Below are 26,691 nucleotides of genomic sequence, written 5' to 3'. Positions count from 1 at the left end.
TTTTCTCTGATCTGGAGTAGTTTAAATAGCATTTGAATGATCTATTATCTAAAGGTAAAGCCTTTAGATAATAACCTTTTTTTTTTTTTTTTGACGGAGTCTCACTCTGTCACCCAGGCTGGAATACAATGGCACCATCTCAGTTCACTGTAGCCTCCGCCTCCCAGGCCCCAAGCAATTCTCCTGCCTCAGCCTCCTGAGTAACTAGGATTACAGGTACCTGCCACCATTCCCGGCTAATTTTTGTATTTTTAGTAGAGACAGGGTTTCGCCATGTTGGCCAGGCTGGTCTTGAACTCCTGACCTCAGGTGATCCGCCCACCTTGGCCTCCAAAAGTGCTGGGATTAAAGGTGTGAGCCATGGTGCCGGTCAATAAACTTTTGAAGCTTTAAAAACATCTAGGCTTGGTGCCTTTTTTGATGCGTCAAAAAATAACCGCAGCAAAGATTTACGTTGTTTTTAGTTTTGGAAGCTCTTTATTAGAAGGCACCGTAGTGGGAAGACAGCAAGTTACAGGCCTGGGAAATGAAGAACCTTACAGAAGAGAGGAAGGAGAAGGCAAAACCAGTGAGCTAGTTCCTTATGCCATATGTGAGTCACCATAGGAAGAGTTTATGAACTTTCACTCATTCTCATGCTGGCCTTTTTTTTTTTTTTTTTTTTCTTTTGGAGACGGAGTCTCGCTCTGTCGCCCAGGCTGGAGTGCAGTGGCGCGATCTCGGCTCACTGCAAGCTCCACCTCCCGGGTTCACGGCATTCTCCTGCCTCAGCCTCCCGAGTAGCTGGGACTACAGGCACCCGCCACCACACCCGGCTAATTTTTTGTAGTTTTAGTAGGGATGGGTTTTCACTGTGTTAGCCAGGATGGTCTCGATGTCCTGACCTCGGGATCCGCCCGCCTCAGCCTCCCAAAGTGCTGGGATTACAGGCGTGAGACATTGCGCCCAGCCATGCTGGCCATTTTTTATATTTATGTCATTATTTAAAACGATGCTTTTTTTTTTGACAGAGCCTCACTCAGTCACCCAGGCTGGAGTGCAATGGCACCATCTCGGCTCACTGCAACCTCCACCTCCCAGGTTAAAGTGATTCTTGTGCCTCAGCCTCCTGAGTAGCTGGGACTATTGGCACACACCACCATGCCCAGGTAATTTTTAAAATTTTTTTGTAGAGACAGGGTCTTGCTTTGTTACCCAGACTGCTCTAGAACTCCTGGCTTCAAGCAATCCTCCCACCTTGGCCTCCAAAAGTGTTGGAATTACAGGCATGAGTGACCGCACCCAGCCTTCTATACTGCTTCTAATAGAATAAAAGAATTTTTCCAGATTTTGTATTAAATGGAAGCAAACAGTATGTATAATTTCATGTCCATGAGGTTCATCCATGTTACTCATTCGGTTATATGAATGTCTACCCTTTGTTGATTTTTTTTTTAGAGACAGAGTCTCACTCTGTCACCCAGGCTGGGGTGCAGTGGCCATTCACAAGTGTGAGGATAGCTCACTGCAGCCTCAAATTCCCAGGCTCAAGCAATCCTTTGCCTCAGCCTCCCGGGTAGCTGGGACTACAGATACAGGCATGAGCCACCACACCCAGCTAAATTTAAAAAATATTTTTAGAGGTGGGTCTCACTATGTCACCAGGCTGGTCTTGAACTCCTGGCCTCAAGGGATCCTTAGCCTCCCCAGTAGCTGGGATTACAGGCACTAAGAACCATGCCCGGCTATTTATTCATTCTTCTGTTAATGGACATTTGGGTTGTTTCCAGTTTGGGGCTGTTATAAATAGTGCTGTTAAGAACATTCTTGTTCATGTCTTTAGCTGAACATATGTATGCTTTTCTGTTGCTAAGCCAACATGTTCTTGTTCTCTCTTTTTAAACAAAGTTCTATAATGGAAATTTTCAAACATACTCAAAAGTAGATAGAATGGAATAATGAATCCCATTGTACCTGTTACACAGCTTCAGTTTTCTTTTCTTTGTATTTTTTGGTTTTTTTCTGAGACAGGGTCTTGCTCTGTCGTCCAGCCTGGAGTGCAATGCATGATCCTAGAACACTGCAGTCTCCAACTCCTCCTGCCTCAACCTCCTGAGTAGCTGGGACTGCAGGTGCATGCCACCATGCCTGGCTGATTTTTAAATTTTTTGTAGAGATGGGGATCTCGCAATGTTGCCCAGGCTGGTCTCCAGCTCCTAGCCTCAAGCAATCCTCCTGCCTCGGCCTCCCAAAGTGCTGTGATTACATGCACGAGTCACCATGCCCAGCCAATATCATCATTATTATTACTAACAATAAGACTATTAAATGTGTTTAAGATTTCATTATGTTAATTTAAAAATTTTTAAATAGATATCCTACTAGGGATGTGAGGTCAAAATATTCTATCTTAAAATCTTTTGAAATAATTCTGGTTGGGTGTGGTGGCTCATGGCCAGAACTGCAATGGGTGCAGTTGCCTGAACTGAATCCTTTTGCTAAAACCTACTATCGGCTGGGTGTGGCTAGTACTGCAATCCCAGCACTTCGGGAAGCTGAGGCAGGAGAATTGCTTGAGCCCAGGAATTTTGAGACCAGCCTGGGCAACATAGCAAGACCCTGTCTTTGCAAAAAAATTAGCCAGACATGATAGCATGCAGCTGTGGTCCCAGCTACTCAGGAAGCTGACGTGGGTGGATCACTTGAGCCAGGAGGTCAAGGCTGCAGCTAGCCATGTTTGTACCACTGTACTCCAGCCTGGGCGACACAGTGAGACCTTGTCTTAAAAAAAGTAAAAAGGATATTACTAGGCTGGTGACCTGCTAGTGGTGGCCGCAGATGGAGAGGCTTCCCTTGGCAATGATTTAGTAGGGTGGGATGGGAGTGGGGCTGGGCCCAGAGATGCTGACCCCCTTTGTACCATTGAGTGAAGCCAGTAAACCTGCCCCACCCCAGGCATACCCCCTTCTATGAGGTACACCCAGCCCCCTACTCACCCTGACCAGCCTGGGGAGTGAGAGTGCCCACTGCTCATCAAGGTGGAAGGCAGAACTCATCAGCTTGTAGTCAATGCAGTACCTGCAACAAAGCTGCTCCAATCCAGAATGCACCCGAGGGAGAAAGATGTCTGAAGTCCTCATAGCTGTCTCATCTGCAAAGTGACTTCCCAGCGGGTTACCTGCCCTCGGCCCTACTGCAAAGGAATCATCACTGTGGGGTCCAGAACCTCAGGTGGGTGTCAGGGCCATCCGTGGGCACTGCAGGAATACTCTTCCATGGACAGAGTTCACATGTCACCCTCACTGTTGGAAAGTGTCATCTATGGGTGCAGATATCCGTGGAAGTGACATATCTGCTACCTGCTTTGGCTCAGGGAAGCATGCGGGGCGACATGGAGGCCTCCATGCAGCCTGGTGTCTGTCATCTTGCTGGCTGTGCTGTGTTTGGGCCAGGCCCTCTTTCGGGCCTGCCTGAAGGTCAGCCACCCTGTCCAGAGCTTCTCCTGAGCCCCATGAGGACTCACAGACTGTGCCTGGTCCCTTCAAGGGAGCTGGGAGCCAGCAGCTGCCATCCTTTCTGGGTAGAGGTGGGAAGGAGCTAGGCTGTGCTCGGGTCTGGGGTAGGCAGAGCCTCTGCTGGGCAGCCGCTCCCTCAAGGCCGCTGTGTTTACAGAAAAGCAAACCAGGTGTTCTTCCTAAAACTGGGTCCCGTAAGAAGACAGTTCTGGCCTCGTCCTTCCCATACACTCCCTGAGAGCCATTCCTGTCCCTTCCACGTTCTATGGCACGACGGGTGGGCACCCCTGGGCCTGCCTCGGCTCCCTCAGGCTCTTCTCCCTACCTTTCATGTCCTGGTGTGGGGGTGGTGACAGCCGTGGCTCTGCAGACTACAGGATCTGGCCCGTATGTGACCACTTAACAGAGTATTTGTCCCTAGTCCTGTATTTCCCTTAATTCCTCCCTCCAGTCCCCTAGCTCCCAACTGTATTTAACTGCGCTGGGGCTGCGTAGGGTTGCTCTGTCCTGGGGGGTGGCCAGGGACTCATCCAGTGCTTGTAAATAAATAAGGCTACGACTCAAAGAAAAAAAAATAGACATTAGGACAGTTGGGGTCTAAAATGAGGTGGAAGTGACGCATCAACGGTACTTTTCCCAATGTCCTAGGTGGCGTTAGTTTATGTGGGAGAACGCCCTTGTTTGCAGGAAACACACACTTAGTTGGGGCGGTACGGAATCCCCTTGACCACCGATTGTCAAATGGTTCAAGGGGAAACACTTTGTATCGCTTGCAACTTTTCCTATGGGTTCTGTAGCTTTTTTTTTTTTTTTTTAATCTTAGTAGCTATCATTTTTCTCCTATGGGTTCTAAACAGTATCACGGTTTCGAAAAATCTTTTTAGCAACCTCTGCATTGCCAGGGTCCTCAGCCCCACCCTGCTCTCCACTGTCCACGTGGCTGCTGGTGGGTCTCTCTGGGAACTCCAGCCAATTAATCCTGCTCCTCCTGGGAACTTACTGCTGAATCCCCACTTTCCTGGGACCAGCCCGCCCTTCCCACCCATGGCACTGAAACGCAGAGACCCGACACCAGCAAAGCCAGGTCCTCACCCTGGTTGTCCCCTTCAGTCCACTGCCCAATGTACACCTGGGCTGAGCCCTTCTTGAGGATGCCAAGGGACAATGACAGGACCAGCTGGGGAAGGCAGGGCAGGGAACTAAAGCCCCGGGGCAATCGTGGGTTTGGCACTGAGGGGCGCCAGGGACCACTCTGTAGGATGAATGGGGGCGAATCTGCCCACCAGGCTGTGCTCCTGAGGCCTGCGTCCACTGCCCAGAAGGGCACCTTTTCCCAGGTCCACAGGGAGCCCATGCTGGCAGGGCCTGCCTGCACCCTCCAGAGCATCTCTGAATTGTGGAGGAAGAGGCAGGGCCCTGCCTGGGGCTGGGTGGGGCAGGTTTGGGGCCACAGGCAGAGGCTTGGAGGAGCCTGGAGGACCTGGGCAGGGGGTGCGCACAGGAGAGGGCAGGCCCCGAGAGCAAGAGGGGGACCCCATCCTGGTCTTGCTCAGAGCCAAGGCCACACAGCACTGGACTGCTGGGCTGTGGGCTGGGGTTGGCATCACCACACCCGGAAGGCCCATCACGAGGAGAGATGGGCCCTGGGAGGGCAGGAGCTGGGCCTCGTCCCATCCTTCACACCTGGCTGTGCCCTTGCGCAGTGGCTGCTTGCTCTTAGGGCCCATGCCCCATGGGCCCAGGCAGCCTGTCCGGCTTTGCTCTGGGTTCTTAGGCAGCGCTCGCAGATGCTCGGTACATTTTTGTTGAAGCTGTGGAAGGATCAGTCCTCAACTATGCAGTAGGGTGGCCCTAGAAGTCTTGAGATCACGCCCCCCACCCTCAACACGCACATTTTGTAGGTAAGACAGAGACTTGGTGACCTGCCTCAGGTCAGGCAGCAGTGAAGGGAAACATAGAGGGCAAACATAAGCACCCTGTCCTCCCTGAGTGCCACCCACCTGGCTGAGGCCCTGGTTGAGGGCTCACTGACCCTCAGGGCAGCTTTTGAGCCATCGCTGCCCCTCAGGTACCTGAGGGCAGGGGAAGCACCGTTGGTGTCCGGCTACCGAGCAGCAGAGGTGGGAAGCCGCCTTGGGTTCTGTCTGCTCTGGGGGCTCAGGCCTCCAGGGATTTGGTAGTCCCCAACCCCTCCCAGCCCTGGGCACATGGGCAGGACACAGCTGGGGAGCAGAGCAGAGTACACCAGGGCAGAGAAGGGAAGTCTCTGGGCTAGGACCAAGAGCCAGAGATGCAGAGAGGAAGCAAGATGGCGCGAACGAGGAGGCCCCTGGTTCACCACGTAGTCTGCCCAGTTACTAGAGCCAGAAAGTTAGTCGGCTGCAGAGCTGAAGCTGGTCTTTTCTACCCTGGCTCCACCTGGGCTCTAGCCCAGGCTGCGGTCATTTTCAGCTGTGACAGCAGCTTTGACAGCCTCCTAATGGGCCATTTCCTGCAGACGTCAAGGTGTGACTTGGACAGTAGGCCAGGGCCTGGGGTCCATGCCAGGGACACCTGACTGCCCAGTCCCAACCCTGGAAGCACCTCCTAGGCTTCCTTTTTTTTGAAACAGGGTCTCATTCTGTCACCCAGGCTGGAGTGCAGTGGCACCATCTCGGCTCACTGTAACCTCCACCCCCTGGGCTCCAGCGATTCTACTGAGTAGGTGGGATTACAGGCACTTGCCATCATGCCGTTTTTTGTTTTTTTTTTTTGAGATGGAGTCTCGCTGTGTCGACCAGGCTGGAGTGCAATGGCGCAATCTCAGCTCACTGCAAGCTCCGCTTCCCAGGTTCACGCCATTCTCCTGCCTCAGCCTCCCGAATAGCTGGGACTACAGGCACCCGCCACCACGCCCGGCTAATTTTTTGTATTTTTAGTAGAGACAGGGTTTCAACGTGTTAGCCAGAATGGTCTCGATCTCCTGACCTCGTGATCCACCCGCCTTGGCCTCCCAAAGTGCTGGGATTACAGGCGTGAGCCACCGCACCCAGCCTACATGTCAATTTTTTTTTGTATTTTTAGTCAAAGACGGAGTTTTACCGTGTTGGCCAGGCTGGTCTTGAACTCCTGGCCTCAAGTGATCCATCCACCTCAGCCTCCCAGAGTGCTGGGATTACAGGCATGTGCCACTGTTCCCAGCCTCCTCCTAGGCTTTTGAGAGAAACAGACTGTGACTGCCCCAAGTCCTAGTCCCAGCCTAGACACCCCAGGACACCCTTCCTGAGGAAGCCAAGGAAGCAGCCAAGGTGAAAACAGAATCAAGAGTCAGATGTCAAACTATAGAGAATACAGAGCTCAAGGAAGGGCACCCAAAGACTCAGCCCCGCAGCTCCCGCTGCACAGAAGTAATGGTGTCAGTGCCAACCGTGCATTTTCAGGCTAAGACTCAGCCCCGCAGCTCTAGCCGTGCAGAAGCGACAGCATCAATGCCAACCATGCATTTTCAGGCTACTGGGTTTTGCACCTTGTCTACAGTTTCCTCACCCCAAGATTATTTTAAATTTTTTTTATTTTTTTTGAGACAGGGTCTGACTGTCACCTAGGCTGCAGTGTGGTGGCTCAATCAGGGCCCACTGCAGCCTGTGTCTCCCAGGTTCAAGTGATCCTCCCACCTCAGCATCCCAAGTAGCTGGGACTACAGGCGCTCACCACCACGCCTGGCTAATCTTTGTATTTTTGGTAGAGATGGGGTTTTGCCACCTTACTCAGGTTGGTCTCAAACTCCTGGGCTCAAACAGTCCTCCTGCCTCAGCCTCCTAAAGTGCTGTGATTACAAGCATGAGCCACTGCGCCCAGCTGATTATTCTTTAAAGTTTACAGTTTTCTTCAATTTATTTTTTGGTTTCATTTTTAAAATCTTAAAATGTGGGAGCCATCTGAGAAGTATGTGGGTGTACGTGGGGCCAGGCACCAGTATCCTGGGCACCCAAGGTGGCCGTTTGTCTTTCTATGGATTTGAGGCTCACATGTCCCCCAGCAGCTCAGTCACACTCTATCACAGAGTTCAGGCCAAGGAATCTCATCTTTCTGGGTCACTGTACACGGGACAAGTCTCCCAGGAGGCACTGAGCTCAGCCCTCCCCATACCGCGTGCACCAAATACTCCCAGCCCAACCCTGGGAGTTTCACTCCTCTAGACACAGACCAGGGTGGCACAGGACAGCCAGGACAGAAGGTGGCACCTGTGCCCTACCCAAAGCCCAATCCCCAGCCCACCAGGCTGGGCAGTCCTGGGCTGCCCTGACCGGGAGACATTACAGGACAGTGACCTGTGCAGCCCCCGAGGCCAGGAGAGAGCAGGGTGATGAGTTTCTAAAACCGCCTTCCACTTTCTATCAGAGAGCCGGCCCTGCAGAGGTGTGACCGACAGCCAGGGGAGAAGGAAGGAGCCTTAGAGGACCCGGGCTCGCTCTCTCTTCCATCGTTTAGTTGTTTGTGTCATTTGATGGCCAGGTCTCACCTAGCAGGAGCCAGACTCTGTGCCACACCCAACCAAAGATCCAACCCTGGAATCTGTACCACGACCAGGGAGGAAAAAATAAGGAGGGAGCTTTATTTAATATGAAGGTTGAGGCAGGGCCGGGGCGGGAGGGCGCTGTCACTTGGTGATGGTGTTCCTGCAGAGAAGAACAGGGGCGTGAGGCTGCAGAGGCGGGCACAGGCCACGCCACCCCTCCCCACCACACCCTACCCCACCAGCCTCGAGCCACTCACGCGTTCATGCTCTTGCCGCTGCCGCTGAGCACGATGTAGGGGGTCTTCTGAGCCTTCTGCTTCTCCTGGAGCAGGGCCACGGTGCCCAGGGGCGTGTCGCTGGAGCTCATCTTCTTCAGGAGCTGAGGGGTCGGGGCCACTCAGAAAGGGCTGCAGCAGGCCCCACACACCAGCCACCCCTGCCCCGGCAGGCACAGGGCCCCCCACATCCCCAAGGGCACCCACCGCCTCCTCGTCCAGCTTCTTCATCCGCCGCTCTGTCTTCATCTTGCCTGAGCCCTTGCCATGGAAGCGGTGCGACAGCTGCCGGAAAGCCTGGGGACGCGGGGCATGAGAGGAGATGCAGGGCCCTGGGTGGGGCCGGAGCCACCTGTGCCCACAAGGTGTATAATAACAGGGCGGGTGTTGATTGACCCCAATGCCAGGCCTGGGGTGCAGTGGGAAGGGGATGGGAAAAGAGCACAGACGCTGGCACCCTGCAGGGCCCCAGCAGAGGCCGGGAGACCAGCTTGGCTAGTGGATGCGCTGCCATGGGGGCAGAGCATGGGGAACCTGGAGACCTGCCACGCAGGGGCTGGGCCTGGACGCTGGGGCTGGGGCTGGGGCTGCAGGGAGACAAACCCCAGAGAGCAAGGGGGCAGCTGAGTGGTAGGGCAGGACGGTCGGGCGGCCTACGAGAGTGCTGGAAGGGCCTGGACGCTGGAATGGCCCTGCGGGCCAGGAAAGCCAGTGAAGGGCTCACGCAGGTGAGGACAGGAGGGCAGAGGTCCCGAGTGCCTGTCTGACCCTCCTGCCAGGCTTGCAAAGAGACTGCTGTGCCCACTAGAGACAAACTGAGGCACAGCCTTCCTCAGCCCTGAGGGCCCCCTCCCCATCCGTGGCATTCACCAGGCCCCCAGCCAGAGGCTGGTGGAGCCAGGACCCTGGGGCATTGCATGGCCCGGGGCATTGCATGGCCCTGGGCTTGGCCTCCCTGTGGCAGGCCGGGCCTCCGCCTGCAAAAGGCCCTGCTCACCTCCTTGGGTGTGAGTTTCCGGCCCGTCTCATCCACGTATTCGATCTTAACGTCGGGTTTGTAGCCGTCCTTCTCCTTGAAGTCCTGTGTGAAGCCTCGGTATTCCTCCCTCCGGCTGTACTTGTCATCGATGGCCCTGGCCCGAGACAGAGGAGGCCTTAGTGTGAGGAGCTGCCGCCTGCTGTGGTCCCGAAGCTCCAAGCTGGCACAGGCCCCTCAGCCCTGCACAGGCCCCACCACACTCACATCTTATCCTCGATGCAGTACACGGCTGAGGGCAGCGACTTGTTGGGGGCCTTCACCCGGGCCACCTTCTGCACTGTGGTCTCCAGCAGCCCTAGGGATGGAGGGGTTGTGAGACTCCCAACCCCTCGAGAGCCACAGCTCCAGGGCCGCCTGAGAAGGCAGAGCAGGCCCTGTGGGGGCACCTCCCTTTCCTTGCCTCTGGAAAGCCATCAGGCCTGTTCTACAGGCAAAGCAAAGATGCAGAAATGAGCCCCTTGCCAAGGGTCACTGGCCAGGGAAATGGCAGAGCTGGGGTCCTAACACCAGGGCTCTCTGTGCCACAGCTGGAACAGTTTCAACTCCCCTCTCCTTCCCCAAGCAGGTGTGGAGCCTCAAAGGCAGAGCAGACGGACAGATGCCACAGTGGAGGGGAAGGAGTGGCTCTGGGCCGGACAGCTGGCTCCAGCATTGGGACTGAGAGAAAGGGGCAGCAGAGGGGACCGGAGGGGGCCCTGCCTGCACCTGCAGCAGCACCCAAGCCCACCCAAGTCATGGCTGCCCTGAGCTCCCTACCTTTGTTCTGACACAGGAGCAGGGCAGCTGCCAGCCCCCTATTCACGATCGGTTCCTCGTCCAGGATGGTGGTGGAGGAAGCAGAGAACTACGGGACACGTGGCGGGGGTGGTTAGCAGGCCATACCGGCTCTTCTCAGCCCCACCCACTGGTCACCACCTGCCAGGCACCAGCCCTCCACAACATTTAATTTCCTCATTTACTCCTCAGATCGCCCTGGGAGGTCTGCAGAGCCCACTCTGGATGAGGAGGCTGAGGCTCTGGACACCGAGCCCGGTGCTCATCTCCAGCTTGAGCACCCCCAAACGCCCACCCCCCAGCGGCGCGGCCCTCACATCCTGCTGCTGCTTCTCCTCGTCCAGGTTCACCGTGCTCCAGCCGATGTTCTCCTCCCCGTCAGATTCGGAGCCACCGTTGGCTGAGCGCTCCTCATCCCGTTCAAAGTCCTGGGGCACAAAAGACCAGGGTCGGCCCAGGCCCCAGCCAGCCCACCCAGCCGAGGGAAGCAGAGGGCGGGGCCGCCCCAGACGCACCATGAGCTCCTCCTGCTCCTCGCGATTGCCAGCCAGCCCGTAGGTGGGGATCTCCCCCAAGGTGCGGCAGAACTCGGACGTGGCGTTGAACACGATGGCCCCCTTCCGCTCGGGATCCTCATCCTCCTCCCAGCCCCGCTGGCGAGACTCCAGCTTCTTCACAATCTCCACCACCTGGGGGAGGGAGCGGCTGTGGGCAAACCCAGCAGTTTCTGGGGTGATGCCATTGAGACCCAGGAACCTAAGGGTCCTCCCTGGCAGCAGCCAGACAGGCCACGCCCACAGCCCATGCAGGCCCAGCTGCTATCTGCCGCCTAACTCCACTCTGCACCTCTTTCACTGGGGTCACTCTTCTGCTCCAAACCCATCAATGGGTTTGGATGCCCTTTGAATGAATACCCAACATCCTACAGGGCCTTCCTGACCAGGCCTGTGCCAATCCCCCTCCAAAGCCCCTCACACACTACCTCAGCCTCAAACTCCTTCCTCCAGGCTCCCTCCTGCCACCTGCCCCTCCCCCGACAAACTCCGGTTTCAGGACTCTAGACAGCACTTCTAGAACCCGCAGGGTGGTGAGGTGGCCCACGCTTTTGACTTCCCACAGCCCAGCTTCTCGCTTCCTGCTTCACCAAGAAAGCAGGTTCCGTGACATGGGAAGAGAACTCACTCATGCTGCCAGCACTGAATCCAGCGACCCCCACACGGGCACCAGCACCCTCTGCTTTCCCTCCTGTCGCAGATGCCCAGCCACACACAATGATTACCATCTCCCCTCTTTAAAAAACTTCTCCCTCAACCCTGCAGCCCAGACAGCAAAGTCCTCACTCCTCAGTGAAGGTTCGAGTCACTATGTCCACTTCTGCACCCCTCTTTCATTTTATATTACATTCATTTTTTTAAAAAAATCTTCTGAGGCGGGTGGACTGCTTGAGTTCCGGAGATCGAGACCAGCCTGGGCAACATACCCAAATCCCATCTCTACAAAAAACATAAAAATTAGACATTGTGGTCACACACGCCCATAGTCCCAGCTACTGGGGAGGCTGAGGTGGGAGTACTGCTTGAGCTTGGGAGATCAAGGCTGCCAAGATCACACCACTGCACTCAAAAGAGTGGGCAAGAGTGAAACCCCGTCTCGAAAAAAAAAAAAAAAAAAAATTCTTCCAGGGGCCGGGTGGTTGCTCACATCTATAATCCTAGCACTTTGGGAGGCCGAGGCTGGAGGATCACTTGAGCCCAGGAGTTCGAGACCAGCCTGGACAATAAGGTGAAGCACAGTCTCTACAAAAAACACAAAGATCAACCAGGCATGGTGGTGTATGCCTGTAGTCTCAGCTACTTGGGAGGCTGGGGTGGGTGGATTGCTTGAGCCTGGAGGCCGAGGCTATGGTGAGCCGTGATCTTGCCACTGCACTCAAGCCTGGGCAACAGAGCAATACCCTGTCTCCAAAAAAAAAAAAAAAAAAAGTCTTCCAGGACATCCAGGAACATTTGTTTGTTTGTTTGTCTTTTAATTTTTATTTCTTTTTGAGACAGAGTCTCACTTTGTCGCCCAGGCTGGAGTGCAGTGGCGCGATCTCAGCTCACTGCAAGCTCCGCCTCCTGGGTTCACAGCATTCTCCTGCCTCAGCCTCCCGAGTAGCTGGGACTACAGGCGCCCGCCACCACGCCCAGCTAATTTTTTTGTATTTTTTTTCAGTAGAGATGGGGTTTCACCGTACTAGCCTGGATGGTCTCCATCTCCTGACCTCGTGATTTGCCTGCCTTGGCCTCCCAAAGTGTTGGGGTTACAGACGTGAGCCACCGCGCCTGGCCAGGAACACTTATTTTTTAATGAACATTGTAAACATAAAACGAGGTATATCTAATGCATCATATGCTACTTATTTATTGAGACCATCTCACTCTATCACCCATGCTGGAGTGCAATGGGGCGATATAGGCTCACTGCAACCTCCACCTCCCAGGTTCAAGTGATCCTCCTCCCTCAGCCTCCTAAGTAGCTGGGACTACAGGTGCATGCCTCCACAACCAGCTAATTTTTGTATTTTTAGTAGAGACAGGGTTTCACCATGTTGCCCAGGCTGGTCCCAAAACCAGCTTCAAGTGATCCACTCACCTCAGCCTCCCAAAGTGCTGGGACTATAGGTGTGAACCACCACACCCGGCTGATATGGTTTTTTTTTTTTTTTTTTTTGAGACAGAGTCTCACTGTTGGCCAGGCTGGAGTGAAGTGGCACGATCTTGGCTCACTGCAACCTCCACCTCTCGGGTTCAAGTGATTCTCCTGCCTCAGCCTCCTGAGTAGCTGGGATTACAGGCATGCACCACCATGCTCGGCTAATTTTTTTTTTTTTTTTTTTTTTTTTTAGTAGAGAGGGGGTTTCACCATGTTAGCCAGGATGGTCTCAATCTCCTGATCTTGTGATCCACCTGCCTAGGCCTCCCAAAGTGCTGATATTACAGGTGTGAGCCACCGCACCCAGCGGCTGATATAGTTTTTAAAACATTAACTAAACACACACCCATGTCCCTCTCCCTGGGGCTGGGGCAGCATCACTAATGCCCTGCCCAGACTTGAGTGTCCCCTCCCCATCCATGGTCATGACTCACCGGCTTGTCTTCATGGCTTTAGCACATAAGGACCTGCCCCTGAACAGTTATTTTGTTGTGTATTAATTATTCTATAACCTGAGTCACACTGTATGACTCTTCTGTGATTTGTTTTGTAAAAAAATCTGTGCCCCTGAGAGTAACCCTGATGCACACGGCTGTAGCTCATCAGTTTCCACTATGGAATCACAGCCCGTGAGCTGGATGCTCCTTGATCTGGCTCTCTAGCCCACTGAGGATGGACTTTTTTTGTCCCAAGTACTGCGGCTGCAGGCCCACTGACAATGTCTCCTGGTGCACATGGGCACACTCGGGAGAGGTGTGGGGTGGGCCCCGGGCACGCACACATTCCCTCTCATCTGATTAGACTCCTGCCCATGGCTGTGAGTAGCGTGGCTGAGGACTCTGGCCGCTCCATGTCCTTTACTCCTACTCGCTACTGTCAGGCTTGGACCTTTCTGCGGAATTGTTGGCAGGTGGCAGGTGCCTCACTGTTTTGGTTCACCTTTCTGTGATCCCTCCTGAAACTGGATTCACCGGGTATTTTCCTGGTGAGTTAGGCTTTCTCTTCTGTGAACTGCCTGTCTTATCTACATCTTTCGCCTATTTTCCTGTTGTGTTGATTTGTTTTGTCTGTTTGTATACTCTTGACACCAACCCATTCTTGGTGGTATATATGGGCAAATATCTTCTCTTTTTGGTCTGCCTTTTTATATTCTTCATGGTATGTTTTGTAAAAAAACAAAAAACAAAAAACTTACGTTCTCAATTTCTTTTTTTTTGAGACGGAGTCTTGCTCTGTCACCCAGGCTGGAGTGCAGTGGTGCGATCTCGGCTCACTGCAAGCTCCGCCTCCTGGGTTCACACCATTCTCCTGCCTCAGCCTCCCTAGTAGCTGGGACTACAGGTGCCCGCCACCACGTCTGGTTAATTTTTTTGTATTTTTTTTAGTAGAGACAGGGTTTCACTGTGTTGACCAGGATGGTCTCATCTCCTGACCTCGTGATCCGCCCGCCTTGGCCTCCCAAAGTGCTGGGATTACAGGCGTGAGCCATCGCGCCCGGCCACGTTCTCAATTTCTATGTAGTTACACGTTCACTTTTTTCTTCATGGTTTCTTGAAGAAACTCACCCATGGAACCTGTGGGTTTCTTGGTTTTTTTTTTTTTTTGAGACAGGATCTTGTTCTATCACCCAGGCTATCATAGCTATCTGTGATATAGTCAGCTATAGTCTATCATAGCTGACTATAACCTCGAACTCCTAGATTCAAGCAATCCTCCTGCCTTAGCCTCCGGCGTAGCTGAGGCTTCAGACACATGCTACCATGCCCAGCTAATTAAAAAAACATTTTTAGAGATGGGGTTGGTAGGGGGGGTGGTCTTGCTGTGTTGCCCCAGGCTGGTCTCAAATTCCTGGCCTCAAGCAATTCTCCTGCCTTGGCTATGCTGACAACTTAAAAAATCTTTTCTACCAAAAAGTTATAAATGTAATTTCCTTAATTTGATTCCGAAATGTGAAGTTTTTACTTTGAAGTTCTTAATCTATCTGCAAGGTGTGAGGTATAAACCCAATTTCATTTTTTCCCCAAATAGATAACTGACTGTCCCACGCCCACTCGCTGCACTGACGAGCGACTCTTCCCACTGGGACACGATTCTGTCTCGGGGCCCCGCTGTCTGGTCTCTCTGTTCTGTTAGTCTATCCTTATGCAATCCCACACTGCCACAATGCCCCTACTTTATCCAATTTCAGAATCATTTTCCAGCTTCCAAAATAATCCCTATTGGGATTTTTACTGGAGTTGCATTTAACCTAGAAATGAACTACATGAGATGGACATCTTGACAATATATTGTCCTATCTAGGAATTGTGTAACCCCTAAATTCATATCGGGAAGCCCTAACCCCCAATGACTGTATGTGGACAGAGCACCTTTAGGAGGTGGAAATTGCAGTGAGCTGAGATAGAGTCACTGCACCCCAGCCTGGGTGACAAAGTGAGACACTATCACAAAACAAAACAACCCCTCAATTCCAAGGATCCTTTCTGTTCTCTCCAGCCTTTCTTTCTAGCTCATTGACTGTATTAACTTCAATCCAGTAATTCTTCAACCACATCACGACTCCAGGCCCTGTCCTCACACCCATCATTCTCTGTTATGTCCCTCATTACCCAGTTTAGACTCAGGGGGAAATCAACAGAACCTCTCCTTTGTGAAACCCTTAACTGCCTTGTCCCTCCTCCCTAGAAAACCCAATCCTCAATCCCACCATCCACTGCTTCAGGGCATTAATCCCACCATCCCCCTCCTCAGCTCCTGAATCCCACCATCCCCCTCCTCAGCAGCTCCTGAATCCCACCATCCCCCTCTTCAGCAGCTCATGAATCCCACCATCCCCCTCCTCAGCTCATGAATCCCACCATCCCCCTCCTCAGCTCATGAATCCCACCATCCCCCTCCTCAGCTCATGAATCCCACCATCCCCCTCCTCAGCAGCTCATGAATCCCACCATCCCCCTCCTCAGCAGCTCATGAATCCCACCATCCCCCTCCTCAGCAGCTCATGAATCCCACCATCCCCCTCCTCAGCTCATGAATCCCACCATCCCCCTCCTCAGCAGCTCCTGAATCCCACCATCCCCCTCCTCAGCAGCTCATGAATCCCACCATCCCCCTCCTCAGCTCATGAATCCCACCATCCCCCTCCTCAGCTCATGAATCCCACCATCCCCCTCCTCAGCAGCTCATGAATCCCACCATCCCCCTCCTCAGCTTCTGAATCCCACCATCCCCCTCCTCAGCAGCTCATGAATCCCATCCCCCTCCTCAGCAGCTCATGAATCCCACCATCCCCCTCCTCAGCTCATGAATCCCACCATCCCCCTCCTCAGCTCCTGAATCCCACCACCCCCCTCCTCAGCACCTCATGAATCCCACCATCCCCCTCCTCAGCAGCTCATGAATCCCACCATCCCCCTCCTCAGCTCATGAATCCCACCATCCCCCTCCTCAGCTCATGAATCCCACCATCCCCCTCCTCAGCTCCTGAATCCCACCATCCCCCTCCTCAGCAGCTCATGAATCCCACCATCCCCCTCCTCAGCTCATGAATCCCACCATCCCCCTCCTCAGCTCATGAATCCCACCATCCCCCTCCCTCAGCAGCTCATGAATTCCACCATCCCCCTCCTCAGCTCATGAATCCCACCATCCACACTGCCACTGGCAGGCCTGCTCTTCTCCCAGGGTGTATCTGCTCTCCACTCTCCAGAACAGCATCTCCCATCTCTTTGCACCACCACCTCTGCCACCTCTTCACTGGAAAAACACCAGAACAATCGGCCATGGGCTGCCTTGACTTCCCCTAAACAAGGTCACCCACAGCTGCTGTGCCCTCCCCACCTTCCCTCCTGAAATAAATGATGACACGAGCTGGCTTCACTCAAGCCCACCCTCCACTTGCACTCTAGGCCCCAGCACCGCCTGCCGAGATCTTTTTCTTCTTCCGTCATAAATGTGTCTCCCACATACTCTAGAATCTCCGGTAGTCAGAAAAGGCTCCTTTGCGGGTGGGAAACTTGATTGGATGCTGCTTACAACAAAAAACTAAAAAGACATTTTGGGGGATAACTGGAAAATGTTGGCATGCGAGCTGCTGTTTTACAGCATTTATGGGCTTGTTAGGGCAGTGTGGCTATGCGGGAGAAGGCCCTGATTTCGCCAGATGCCTACTGAAGTCGTTAAGGATGCAGTGTCATGATATCTGCAACTCCCAGTGGTCAGGAAAAAAAGAAGAGAAAGAAAAGAACTGTAACAATGTTTATAATTACTGACTCTAGAGGACAAAGGTGTTCACTGTGATAGGCTTTCCACTTTTTTGCCTGCACAGTGTGTGGGGTGTGGCTCATATGTTTAAAAAACCTTCTAGGTGGCCGGGTGTGGTGGTTCATGCCTCTAATTCCAGCACTTTGGGAGGCTGAGGAGGGTGGATCACAAGGTGAGGAGTTTGAGACCAGCCTGACCAACACGGTGAAACCCTGTTTCTTCTAAAAAATACAAAAATCAGCTGGGCGTGGTGGCATGCACCTGTAGTTCCAGCTACTCAGGAGGCTGAGGCAGGAGAATTGCTTGAGCCCGGGACATGGAGGTTGCAGTGAGCCGAGATCGCGCCACTGCACTCCAGCCTGGTGACAGAGCGAGACTCCGTCTCAAACAACAACAAAAACTTTCTAGGCTACACCAGGCCTGGTGGCTCATGCCTGTAACCCCAGCACTTTGGGAGGTGGAGGCGAGAGGATCGTTTGAGCTCAGGAATTTGAGACCAGCCCGGGCAACACACTGAGACCCACAGGCGCACGCCTGTAGTCTCAGCTACTTGAGAGCCTGAGGCAGGAGGATCCCTTGAGCCCAGGAGTTCAAGGCTGCAGTGAACTATGATTGCACTACTGCACTCCAGCCTGGGCAACCGAGCGAGACCTTGTTTCTTAAAACAACAACAAAAACAACCTCCTAGGTGAGTCTAATGTGCAGGCAGGCTGAGATCCACGGGGCTAGAAACCCTTATGTTCATTTCAGTCATAAAACAGCCCTGTCAGCCTATTGCTCCATTTCTCTGTTCCTTTTTAGCCGGGCAAACTATGTCCCAACACCTGTTCTTAGAAATAAAGTATTACTGGAACCCAGCCACGCCCACTCACTTACAGACTGTCTTGGCTGTTTTCCCTATAACAGCACAGCATTCAAGGTGCCTAACAGAGACCATATGCCCTTAAACCTCAAATACGTCCTCTCCAGCCCTTCAACAGTAAGCCTGGCCTCCGTCCCGGGTTCAGCCCTCACTTTTTCAACTCCCCTGTCCTCCGGGTCCTGAATCCACTGCAACTGTCCCCACTTTGCCTCCCAGTAGTATCAGAAGCTTCCCTCCCTTGCTCCCTCTCCTGGACACGCTTTCTTGGCTTCTTCCTAGGTGAGAAGTGTGGGGTAGGGCTAAAAGTGTGGCCTCTGGAATGATGGAGATGACAGAACCTTCCTCATAGGGTGTTGCTGGGAGGATGGAATGAATCAACAAACACAGAACATGTGAGCAGTGCCCGGCCCACTGTGCCTCTGGGGCAGCGACGACCATGGGGTCAAGGCTCCCCCTGCGTTGGCCCCCTACCTCTCCATCTCAGCTCACGCCACCCCTCACTCTCTGCTCTGCTCCAGCCTCCCTGGCCCTCAGGCACTCTAAGGTCACTTCTCCTGAGACACCTGCTGGTTGGTCTACTGCCTAAATGCCAGCCTGTCCACCTGCTGCCACCCCTAACCCCCCGCAAGGCTGGCTCCTCTGTGTGACTCAAGTCTCAGATGAACTAGTACCTTGGAAAGGTCTTCCCTGCACTCTCCCATCTAAGATCCCAACCCCCGGCACGTTATCTTGGTTTACTGAGTGCCCAGCTCCCACCACCATCAGAAATTACCGTTCCTGCATTAACAGTCACTGCTGCTCCCCACGCTCTCCCCCACACACTCTAGAAAGCCAGCTCCATGAGCCCAGGGCCCCATGGCTATCCTGTTCACCAATGACCTTCTCAGCCCAAGAACAATGCACTACTCACAGCAGGCATTCAACAAACATGCACAGAAGAGAGAGGCAAGGAAAGGATCCCCTACTAAAGCAGGCATCTAAAAATTTTTGCAAAACATGACTTTAAACAGAATAGAGGGCTGGGCACGGTGGCACACACCTGTAATTTTAGCATTTTCGGAGGCAGAGGCAGGCAGATCATGAGGTCAGGAGTTGGAGACCAGCCTGGCCAACATAGTGAAACCCCGTCTCTACTAAAAATATAAAAATTAGCCGGGTCTGGTGGCGTGCGCCTGTAATCCCAGCTACTCAGGAGGCTGAGGAATAAGAATCACTTGAGCCTGGGAGGCGGAGGTTGCAGTGAGCTGAGGCTGCGCCACTGCATTCCAGCCTGGGCGAAAGAGCGAAACTCTGTCTCAAAAAAAAAAAAAAAAAACAAACCCAGAAAACAAAAAACAAATGGAAAAGAGGCTTCAGACAGGAATGTGGCTGTCGCCTATGACACAGGTGCTCGTGAGGACAGGTGACTGCTGACGCAGTCACCCTGCCCATGCCCAGCCTCACCTTCTCGCCACTGTCTCGCAGCTGCTGTAGCTGCTGTAACTGTCGCAGCCGGCGTCCCTTCTCCAGCTGCTTCTGCAGCTCCAGCTCCGCCTCGTCCTCCTCCAGCACCTGCGGGGACCCCGGCGGTGGAGCTCCACCTTCCTCTGGGGGAAACACAGGGGATGCCTGCTCAGACCATCTCCTCCAACCCGCGGCTCCTGTCCCTGCCCCTCCCACCCCCTGGCCGGGCCCTCACCCTCATCACTGATGTCCATGTTCTCCACTCGGGTGTCGTCCGACGGCAGGGGCTGAGGCACAGGCTCCTTCTCCTCCTCCACTTCGGACACTCGGCGGCGACCCCGTCCCCGCAGTCTGAGGGAAGGAGGCCTCTCTGGTGAGCACCGGTCCCCAGGCCACCCCAGCCCAGCCATCTCGCCCCACCACCGTGTCCAAGCCCACCTGGAACCAAAGTCCCCATCCTGAGTCTGGTCCCCGAGAGGCAGCAAGTCATCTGCCCGCACTACTACCTCCTTCTCCTTCTTGCGGATTTTCTTCACCCTCCGCTTGGTCTTTTTAAAGGTCACCTTAAGGGAAGAGGGGCGAGACATGGAGCGGGGGCCACAGAAAGGCAGGTCGCCACAAGCCCTCGAGGGTGAACACTTCTTTGGTGTTCCTCTGTGCTAGCCAGCGTCCTGAGCGCTTCCCACACATGAGCAACATGTGGGGTGGTTACTATCTCAATTCCACTGGTGAGCTAGGGAAACTGGGGCACAGGGAGGTTAAGTACCTTCCCCAAGGTTGCCCAGCTCCTAGGTGGGAGAGCTGGGCAGTCTGGCTCCAGAGTCCTGCTCTTACCCACTGAGGAAGACGCCTACCGCGCCAGCTGTCTACCTCACGTTCACACAGTCACCCTGTGGACAGAATCCACGCACACCTCTCCAGTCACCCCTCACCCACGCTGTCACTCATCCTCACAGCAACCTCAGGAGGCGGCTCCTGTCACTGCCATTCCAGATGGGGTGCCCCAGGCTCACAGTTAAATGGTTTATCCAAGGCACGAGCTGGCAGCATGGCAGAGCCGAAACAGACTGGGGCCCATCTGGCTCAGCAGCCCTGACCCATCCACACCTGGTGCCTCCCCCGGTTGCCATTTAGTGCTCACCCGCGAGGCCAAGCGCTTTGTGAACACAAATACTCGCCCTGTCTTCTCAGTGCCTGCGGGCAGGGCAGGAGCCCCAGAGGGAGGGAGAATCTTGACCCCGAGTATAAGGCACGGGAGGGCTCACCATCTCCTCAGGCGTGAGGTATTCGGAGGCCAGCCGGGGCCCCACTGTGCTCAGGGACTGAGCCTGCAGCCGCAGCTTGGCCCGGATCTCCTCCAGCTCCCGCTCCCGCAGGCCATCAGCCGTGCCGCCCTGCTCCAAGCGGAAGGAATGTGGCCGCTCCCCTTCAAGCTCTTCGTCATACTTGGACAGGATAGAGCGAGGTTTTTGCTGCAAGGCAAGAGGTACAGGTTGGGACCCAGGCTGGCTCCTGAAAAGCCACTGAGCCACCACCTCCTCAGAGCCCCCATTCCCGACATTCTCCACCTCAGCCCCCGCCACCCAGCCTGCCCAGGCCGTGCCTGCGCCAGGTCGTCCACGCTCTCGTCCTCGGCATAGGGCAGGTAGTCAGGCTTCTTCTTCCGCAGCTCCACATTTTTCTCTGCCCGCTCCTTATCCACCAGGTTCACGTTCACCAGCACGTCCTCCTCCTCCTGCAGCACGCCTGGGGGCAGCACAGAGCAGTGGCCATTCACACTTGTCCGCAACTCAGCAGAGGCTGTGCCCCCACCCAGGGCACCCAGCTCGCATTACCTTTGTCCTTGAGGGTAAGAATCATTGTCTCCCCTTCTCGGAAGGAATCAATGGCATGCTCCACGGTGAGGCCCTGCAGGTCCCGGGCACTGTACAGGTCCTAAGGGAAGAATCGGCGAGTCAGGAACCTCCCTCCACGCACCCAACCTCGGGATTCCGGTAGCAAGGCCACCAGTGTCCCCTGTACCACCCCTGCTGCAGCCTCACCTGCCGCCTCTGCCCGAACTCCTCCTCCACCAGAGTGCTGACACCAAACTCTTGGTCCATCTCCTCCAGTAACTTGGCCTACGGGACAGGGAGGGGTGACCTAGGACTTCAGGCCACTCAGCATCACCAGAAAACACTCAGGGCTCTACCAAGCGGAGTGCAAAAAGGGCAGGCCTTGCAGGAAAGCTGCTGAGAATCCAAAGTAGATGCTACCGACCACGGCCCTTCCCTTCTCCAAGCCCCGTCTCACCTCTCTGGGGTTGGCCCCCGCCTCAGTGCCGTCAGGCCACCAGAAGCACTAGGCGACCACCCCATGCTGCCCAGGTGCTCACCCTCTTCTCTGCCAGGTCCTTCTCCTTCTGCAGCTGCCGGCTCCTCTCGATCCAGGCTGCAGTGTCGTCCAGCCAGGGGTCATCCTCTCCTAGGGTCTTTATCTTCCTGAAGAGGGGAAAAAGTGATGCTCAAGGAGCCCAGCTCCTGCTCCCCACCCCACTCAAGAGGCAGCCAAGGATGGTGGCCTCCCCAGCCCTTCCCTTGCCTGCCCTGGCCAGGACCCCTCACCCCAGCTTTTGGTTCAGCAGGCGCTTCTCCTTGGCAGCCGCCAGCTTCTCCCGCAGCTCCTCTCGCTGTCGCAAGGCCATAGGGTTGATGACATCAGCTGTCACGGGCTCCTCCTTGGTGCCCGCCTCTGGAAGGGGGGCCCAGACGTGAGGCTATGCCCGCCCATGGCTGGTGGGGAGAGGAGGGAGCCACTCACCCTGCCCCCTTCCAGCTCAGGGGGCCAGAAGGGGTCAGGACAGGAAGGAACAATCCTTCACCTCCCTGCTCCCACTTCGTCCCCACACTCCTGGCCAACCCATGCAGCACAACAGGACCCTCTGTGGCTTCCAAAGCCCCTCAAATCGTGCTTTAAAGAAAAACAAGAAACCCACCCCCGCACAGCGCAGTCTGCAGCAAGTGTGCACATCTTCCAGTCCATCTAACAACTCACAGCCAGAGTGAGTATGCGACGGCCACAGCTCCAACTCAGAGAGCAGGCGGAGCCCCAGATCCCCATTATACCAGCAAGGAGGGACCTCATGCCTTCCGGCAAATATGCATGTGTAAGACCACTAAACAGTGCTGAACCTGCCCTCTAACCCCACCTTCTTCAAAGACCCCTTCAGATGGCCTCTTTCCCCCAAACCCTATCCTCAGCCCCATACTCACCCTTCTTGATGGCATTAACCTCCAAGGGTTTCAGCCCCAACTTTGCCCGGAGTTTGCTGACAACAAGAGATACAAGTGTTAGGGGCTATTAAAGACACAGGGTGCCATGTGCATTTCCAGACAGACAAGAGGAGAAACAGGGTGGGAGTGAGTGGTCCCAAACACAAAGTCTGCCCCAGGCAGCCTAGGACACTGGGAAGGGCCCTGGCCTCCAAAGCAGGAAACATGGGCACCAGCCTGGTCTGCGTCTAACCAGTGAATGCCACTTTACTCTTAGGTTTTAGTTTTCTCTTCTATAAGTCAACTGTTGGCTAAGATGATTTAAACAATCTTTCCAACTCTGATTAGCACACTTTCATGTGAGAAAGCCTCCCCCGTGCTGGCCCCAGAGCCACCTCTCTTAGAAAAACAAAGTAGAAACAAGGGAGACAGTACTCACTTAGTCTCCTCGATGCTGAGTGAGGAGGCATCGCCTGAGCTAGTTTTGGAGCTGGCAGCTGGAACAAGAAGAAGCATGGCTCAGGAGCTGAACACAGGGCCAAGAAGCCAGCATCGTTGGCTCCAGCTGCAGGAACAAAAATGAGGGCCCCTCACCAGCACCTGGGCCTGCTGAAACACCAGAAAACAGCAGCTTCTTCCACCCAAGCTCCCCAGCAGCTCCTCTGCCCGAGTCCAGTCTCAGAGCCCTGCCTCTTCTGTGCACCTTCCTTTCCTGACCCAAGACATCCAAACTGCTGTAGTCACCACTCTGCCCTCTACTTTTTTCTTTCATTTTTAACAGACAAGGTCTGGGCCGGGTATGGTGGGTCATGCCTGTAATCCCAGCACTTTGGGAGGCCGAGGCAGATGGATCACGAGGTCAGAAGTTCAAGACCAGCCTGGCCAAGATGGTGAAACCCCGTCTCTACTAAAAATATAAAAATTAGCCAGGCACGGTGGTGCGCACCTGTAATCCCAGATACTCGGGAGGCTGAGGTAGGAGAATTGCTTGAACCCAGGAGGCAGAGCTTGCAGTGAGCTGAGATCGTGCCACTGCACTCTAGCCTGGGCAATGGAGCAAGACTTTGTCTCAAAAAAACAAAACAAAACAAAAAAAAAACTCTTCCTTTCCTGCATTCCCATCCTGCATCCTACCTTCTCCTTTATCTTAAAGGCTTCTCTCTCCACCTGGGCCATGGATCCCAACCTCTCCAGGCTCCCCAAGGTCACCAGCCTCCTCGTTTCTAAATCTAGTGGGTTCTTTTCGGTTCTGGTTTTGCTTGATCTCCTGTGGTATGTGGGACTGCTGATCGCTCCCTCCTTCTAACAATACTCTCTTCCCAAAGTTCCCATGACACAAAGGTTTTCCTGCCTTTTTGGTTACTCTGTCTCCTTTTTTTGGTAACATCTTTCTCTGCCTACTACTAACATAAGGGCATTTCTCAGGTTCTAGTCCTGACCCCCTCTTCTCATGTCACAGTCTTTCAGGGGCTTCACTGGCCACCCAGATACTGACTCCCAATGGCTTTATCCAGTCCAAACTCTGGATTTCCCCATTACCATCAACCTTGACAACCCCAAAAGTGAACTATCTCCCCCCACCCCCGCTCCAAATCTGCTTCTCTTCCCTACTCCTCAATTTCAGTAGAAATGACACCCACTACCTATCTGGCTGCTCAAGCCAAAATTCAAGGAGTCATCCTCCATTCCTTCTTCCCACCCTCATACAAGTGCTGAGTTCTGTTCATTCCTCCTCCAAAACACCTCTCCAACCTGTCCACTTCTCTCAATCCCACTGCTGCTGCCTTGGTGCAGGCCACCATCAGCCCTCCCCTGGCCTATAGCCCTCCTGGTTTCCTGGTCTCCAGTCCTGACTACCTTTGACTAAATTCTCAATCCAGTGATGTTTACAAAATACGGATCTGAGCAACTCACTCCTCAACTCACATCCATGGCTCCCTACTATCCTCAAGACAATCTACAGTTCTTAACAGAGACTACAGTACAGGGTCCTTTGTGTTCACATCCCTGTCTATCTTACTCCCTCATTTCTCTACCATGCGCCCTACACGATTCGTCCAATACCAGGTTTTTCTTGCCTCTGTATATGCTGACACTACTTCATTCACTCATTCAACATATTTATTGAGAATCTGATTGTACCAGACAACTGAGGAAAACAGAAGCCCTCTGTCCTCAAGCAGCTGAGTGGAGAAAGTCAACCTCTAATCCTAAACAACCGTAGAAAGACTTTTTTCTTTTTGAGACAGAGTCTCGCTTTGTTGCCCAGGCTGGAGTACACTGGCGGGACCGCAGCTCACTGCAGCCTCTAACTCCTGGGCTCAAGGGATCCCGTAGAAAGACTATTTAATAGAGCTGGTAAACAGCTTGGGGGTTTCCTGGCCTGAAGAGCTTCGCTGACACTGCGCGCACACCCAGACCCACGCGTTCCGGGACCCCCGCCCGACCCGCCCCCTGCGCAGGCCCCGCCTCCTCACCGGCCTCGTAGCCGTCATCGCGCTTCTCCCGCTTCACGCGCCGCTCGGAGGGCTCTGCCTGGCTGCGCTCCCGCCCGTGCGTGCTGCTCCGGGCCTCAGCTTCGGCCCCGCGCCGCCCGCTCCCGCGCTCGCCCCCACGTTCCCGGCTCCGCTTCCGTCGTTCGCCACCGCTACCGCCACTGCCGCCACTCCGGTGCTTGTGTTTTTTGTGTTCCCGGTGCCGCGGCGGCTGCTCGGTGGCACCCCCGGTGCCGGCCGCCGCCGTCGTCCCGGCCGCCTCCTTCTCTCCGCGATGCTTCTTGGACGACCCCATAGTGGCACGTCCACTCCGAGCCCGGCTGCCGCCGAGCCCAGACAACGCAAAATGGGAATACTTCCGGGTCGCTCGGCAGCCGCTGTCGTGTTGCCGGAAACTAAGAGCGGCTGCTTCCGTCGCTCGCCTTGGAGCCTGCCCCAGAGGCTCATGGGAAGGCCGGGATCAGCGCTCGACTGCACATTCGCGCCGTCTCGGGTCGGGTGGGTTCTTTGAGCGAGTGGTCCCATTGCGCATGCGCTCCTCAAGGGAAGCGGAATTAACCCGGAGGTGGGATCCCAGAACTGGAAGGACTTAGAGCCCATTAAGTCAGTGTCTTCGTGGCTTTAAGTTCCTCCCCGGCCTCCCTGCGCTTGCACTTCACCGGCAACGGGGTGTTCACTACCTCACGGTCTTTCCGTAGACACCTCCCTCCTACAATGGGCGCTCGCTTAGTGGACTCCTAGGGTCGTGGCTCCAACGGGTGTTGTTTTCCCGAGATCTCCAATTCCACAGCCCAGCTTCAGACCCGCTATAACCAGTATCGTCAGGGAACGCTTCCTTCCCACGTTCCCTGTTTTGTTTTGTTTTGTTTTTTCCCTTGAGATAGGATCTCACTCTGTTGCTCAGGCTGGAGTGCAGTGGCGTGATCACAGCGCACTGCAGCCTCGACCTCCTGGGCTCAAGTGATCCTCCCACCTCAGCCTTCCCAGTAGCTGGGACTACGAGAGTACGCTACCACGCCCCTTTAATTTTTGTATTTTTTTGTAGATGGTTGGTGGGGAGCGGGGGTAGGGGGTGGGGTCACTATGTTGGCCAGGCTGGTCTCGAACTCCTGAGCTCAGGCTATACACCCGCCTTGGCCTCCCAAAGTGCTGAGATTACAGGCATGCGCCACTGCGCCTGGCCCTGGATTGGATTTTTAAAACCTGGCCCCGTGAACTGTTAAGATTGTTTAGGAGCTCCACATGGGCGTCAGTGTATCCCTGGAACCCCTGAAATTGAATGCAAAATGTGGCACATCTGTGTGTATGAGTTTTTTTCTTGAGGAGACCAGCCCTAACTTAAAACTATTGGGACTTAAAACCCCAGTGCAGGCCGGGCGCGGTGGCTCACGCCTGTAATCCCAGCACTTTGGGAGGCCAAGGCAGGCGAATCACGAGGTCAAGAGATCGAGACCATCCTGGCCTACATGGTAAAACCCCGTCTCTACTAAAAATACAAAAATTAGCTGGGTGTGGTGGCGCACACCTGTAGTCCCAGCTACTCAGGAGGCTGAGGCAGGAGAATCGCTTGAACCTGGGAGGCAGAGGTTGCAGTGAGTTGAGA

At 54.4% G+C, this 26,691-nt stretch overlaps 1 protein-coding gene and 1 pseudogene across 2 annotated transcripts, besides 2 other annotated features; one reads left to right on the top strand and one right to left on the bottom strand.

Moving 5' to 3' along the window:
- Positions 2,799 to 3,482, top strand: LOC100420020 (phosphatidylinositol-4,5-bisphosphate 4-phosphatase 1 pseudogene; annotated as a pseudogene).
- Positions 7,027 to 25,430, bottom strand: SART1 (spliceosome associated factor 1, recruiter of U4/U6.U5 tri-snRNP). 2 transcript variants are annotated; one of them, NM_005146.5, is made up of 20 exons: positions 25,071 to 25,430; positions 23,033 to 23,090; positions 22,594 to 22,649; positions 21,946 to 22,072; positions 21,717 to 21,822; positions 21,385 to 21,462; positions 21,178 to 21,277; positions 20,946 to 21,088; positions 20,608 to 20,814; positions 19,781 to 19,905; positions 19,578 to 19,693; positions 19,343 to 19,485; positions 10,596 to 10,769; positions 10,398 to 10,508; positions 10,063 to 10,150; positions 9,511 to 9,601; positions 9,265 to 9,400; positions 8,475 to 8,564; positions 8,250 to 8,371; positions 7,027 to 8,152 (listed from the first exon to the last, which is right to left on the bottom strand). In NM_005146.5, exons 1-20 carry the CDS (start codon positions 25,381 to 25,383, stop codon positions 8,134 to 8,136), a joined length of 2,403 nt encoding a protein of 800 aa, NP_005137.1. In that variant the 5' UTR covers positions 25,384 to 25,430; the 3' UTR covers positions 7,027 to 8,133. The 2 variants fall into 2 exon arrangements, with proteins under 2 accessions (NP_005137.1, XP_047283812.1); XM_047427856.1 differs by lacking the exons at positions 7,027 to 8,152; positions 8,250 to 8,371; positions 8,475 to 8,564; ... (2 more) ...; positions 10,063 to 10,150; positions 10,398 to 10,508 and having other exon boundaries at positions 10,604 to 10,785.
- Positions 20,563 to 21,063: an enhancer, noted in NCBI's record as "H3K4me1 hESC enhancer chr11:65733572-65734072 (GRCh37/hg19 assembly coordinates)". NCBI's record gives its function as "activates a minimal SCP1, AML or CMV promoter by ChIP-STARR-seq in naive H9 embryonic stem cells {active_cell/tissue: H9 hESC(naive)}" and the evidence as "EXISTENCE:reporter gene assay evidence [ECO:0000049][PMID:30033119]".
- Positions 24,785 to 25,572: an enhancer, noted in NCBI's record as "H3K27ac hESC enhancer chr11:65729063-65729850 (GRCh37/hg19 assembly coordinates)". NCBI's record gives its function as "activates a minimal SCP1, AML or CMV promoter by ChIP-STARR-seq in primed H9 embryonic stem cells {active_cell/tissue: H9 hESC(primed)}" and the evidence as "EXISTENCE:reporter gene assay evidence [ECO:0000049][PMID:30033119]".

Source organism: Homo sapiens, chromosome 11 (assembly GCF_000001405.40).
Source record: "Homo sapiens chromosome 11, GRCh38.p14 Primary Assembly".
NCBI lineage: Eukaryota > Metazoa > Chordata > Mammalia > Primates > Hominidae > Homo > Homo sapiens.
This window is presented reverse-complemented; position numbering and strand designations above follow the sequence as displayed.

Excerpts from the sequence above, each read along its gene's own strand:
- SART1 (NM_005146.5), bottom strand. The coding sequence starts at position 25,383 with ATGGGGTCGTCCAAGAAGCATCGCGGAGAGAAGGAGGCGGCCGGGACG. Across the intron at positions 21,278-21,384 it reads AGTTCGGGCAGAGGCGGCAG|GACCTGTACAGTGCCCGGGA; the intron begins GTGAGGCTGCAG and ends TTCTTCCCTTAG. Across the intron at positions 10,509-10,595 it reads AGGAGCAGGAGGAGCTCATG|GACTTTGAACGGGATGAGGA; the intron begins GTGCGTCTGGGG and ends TTTGTGCCCCAG.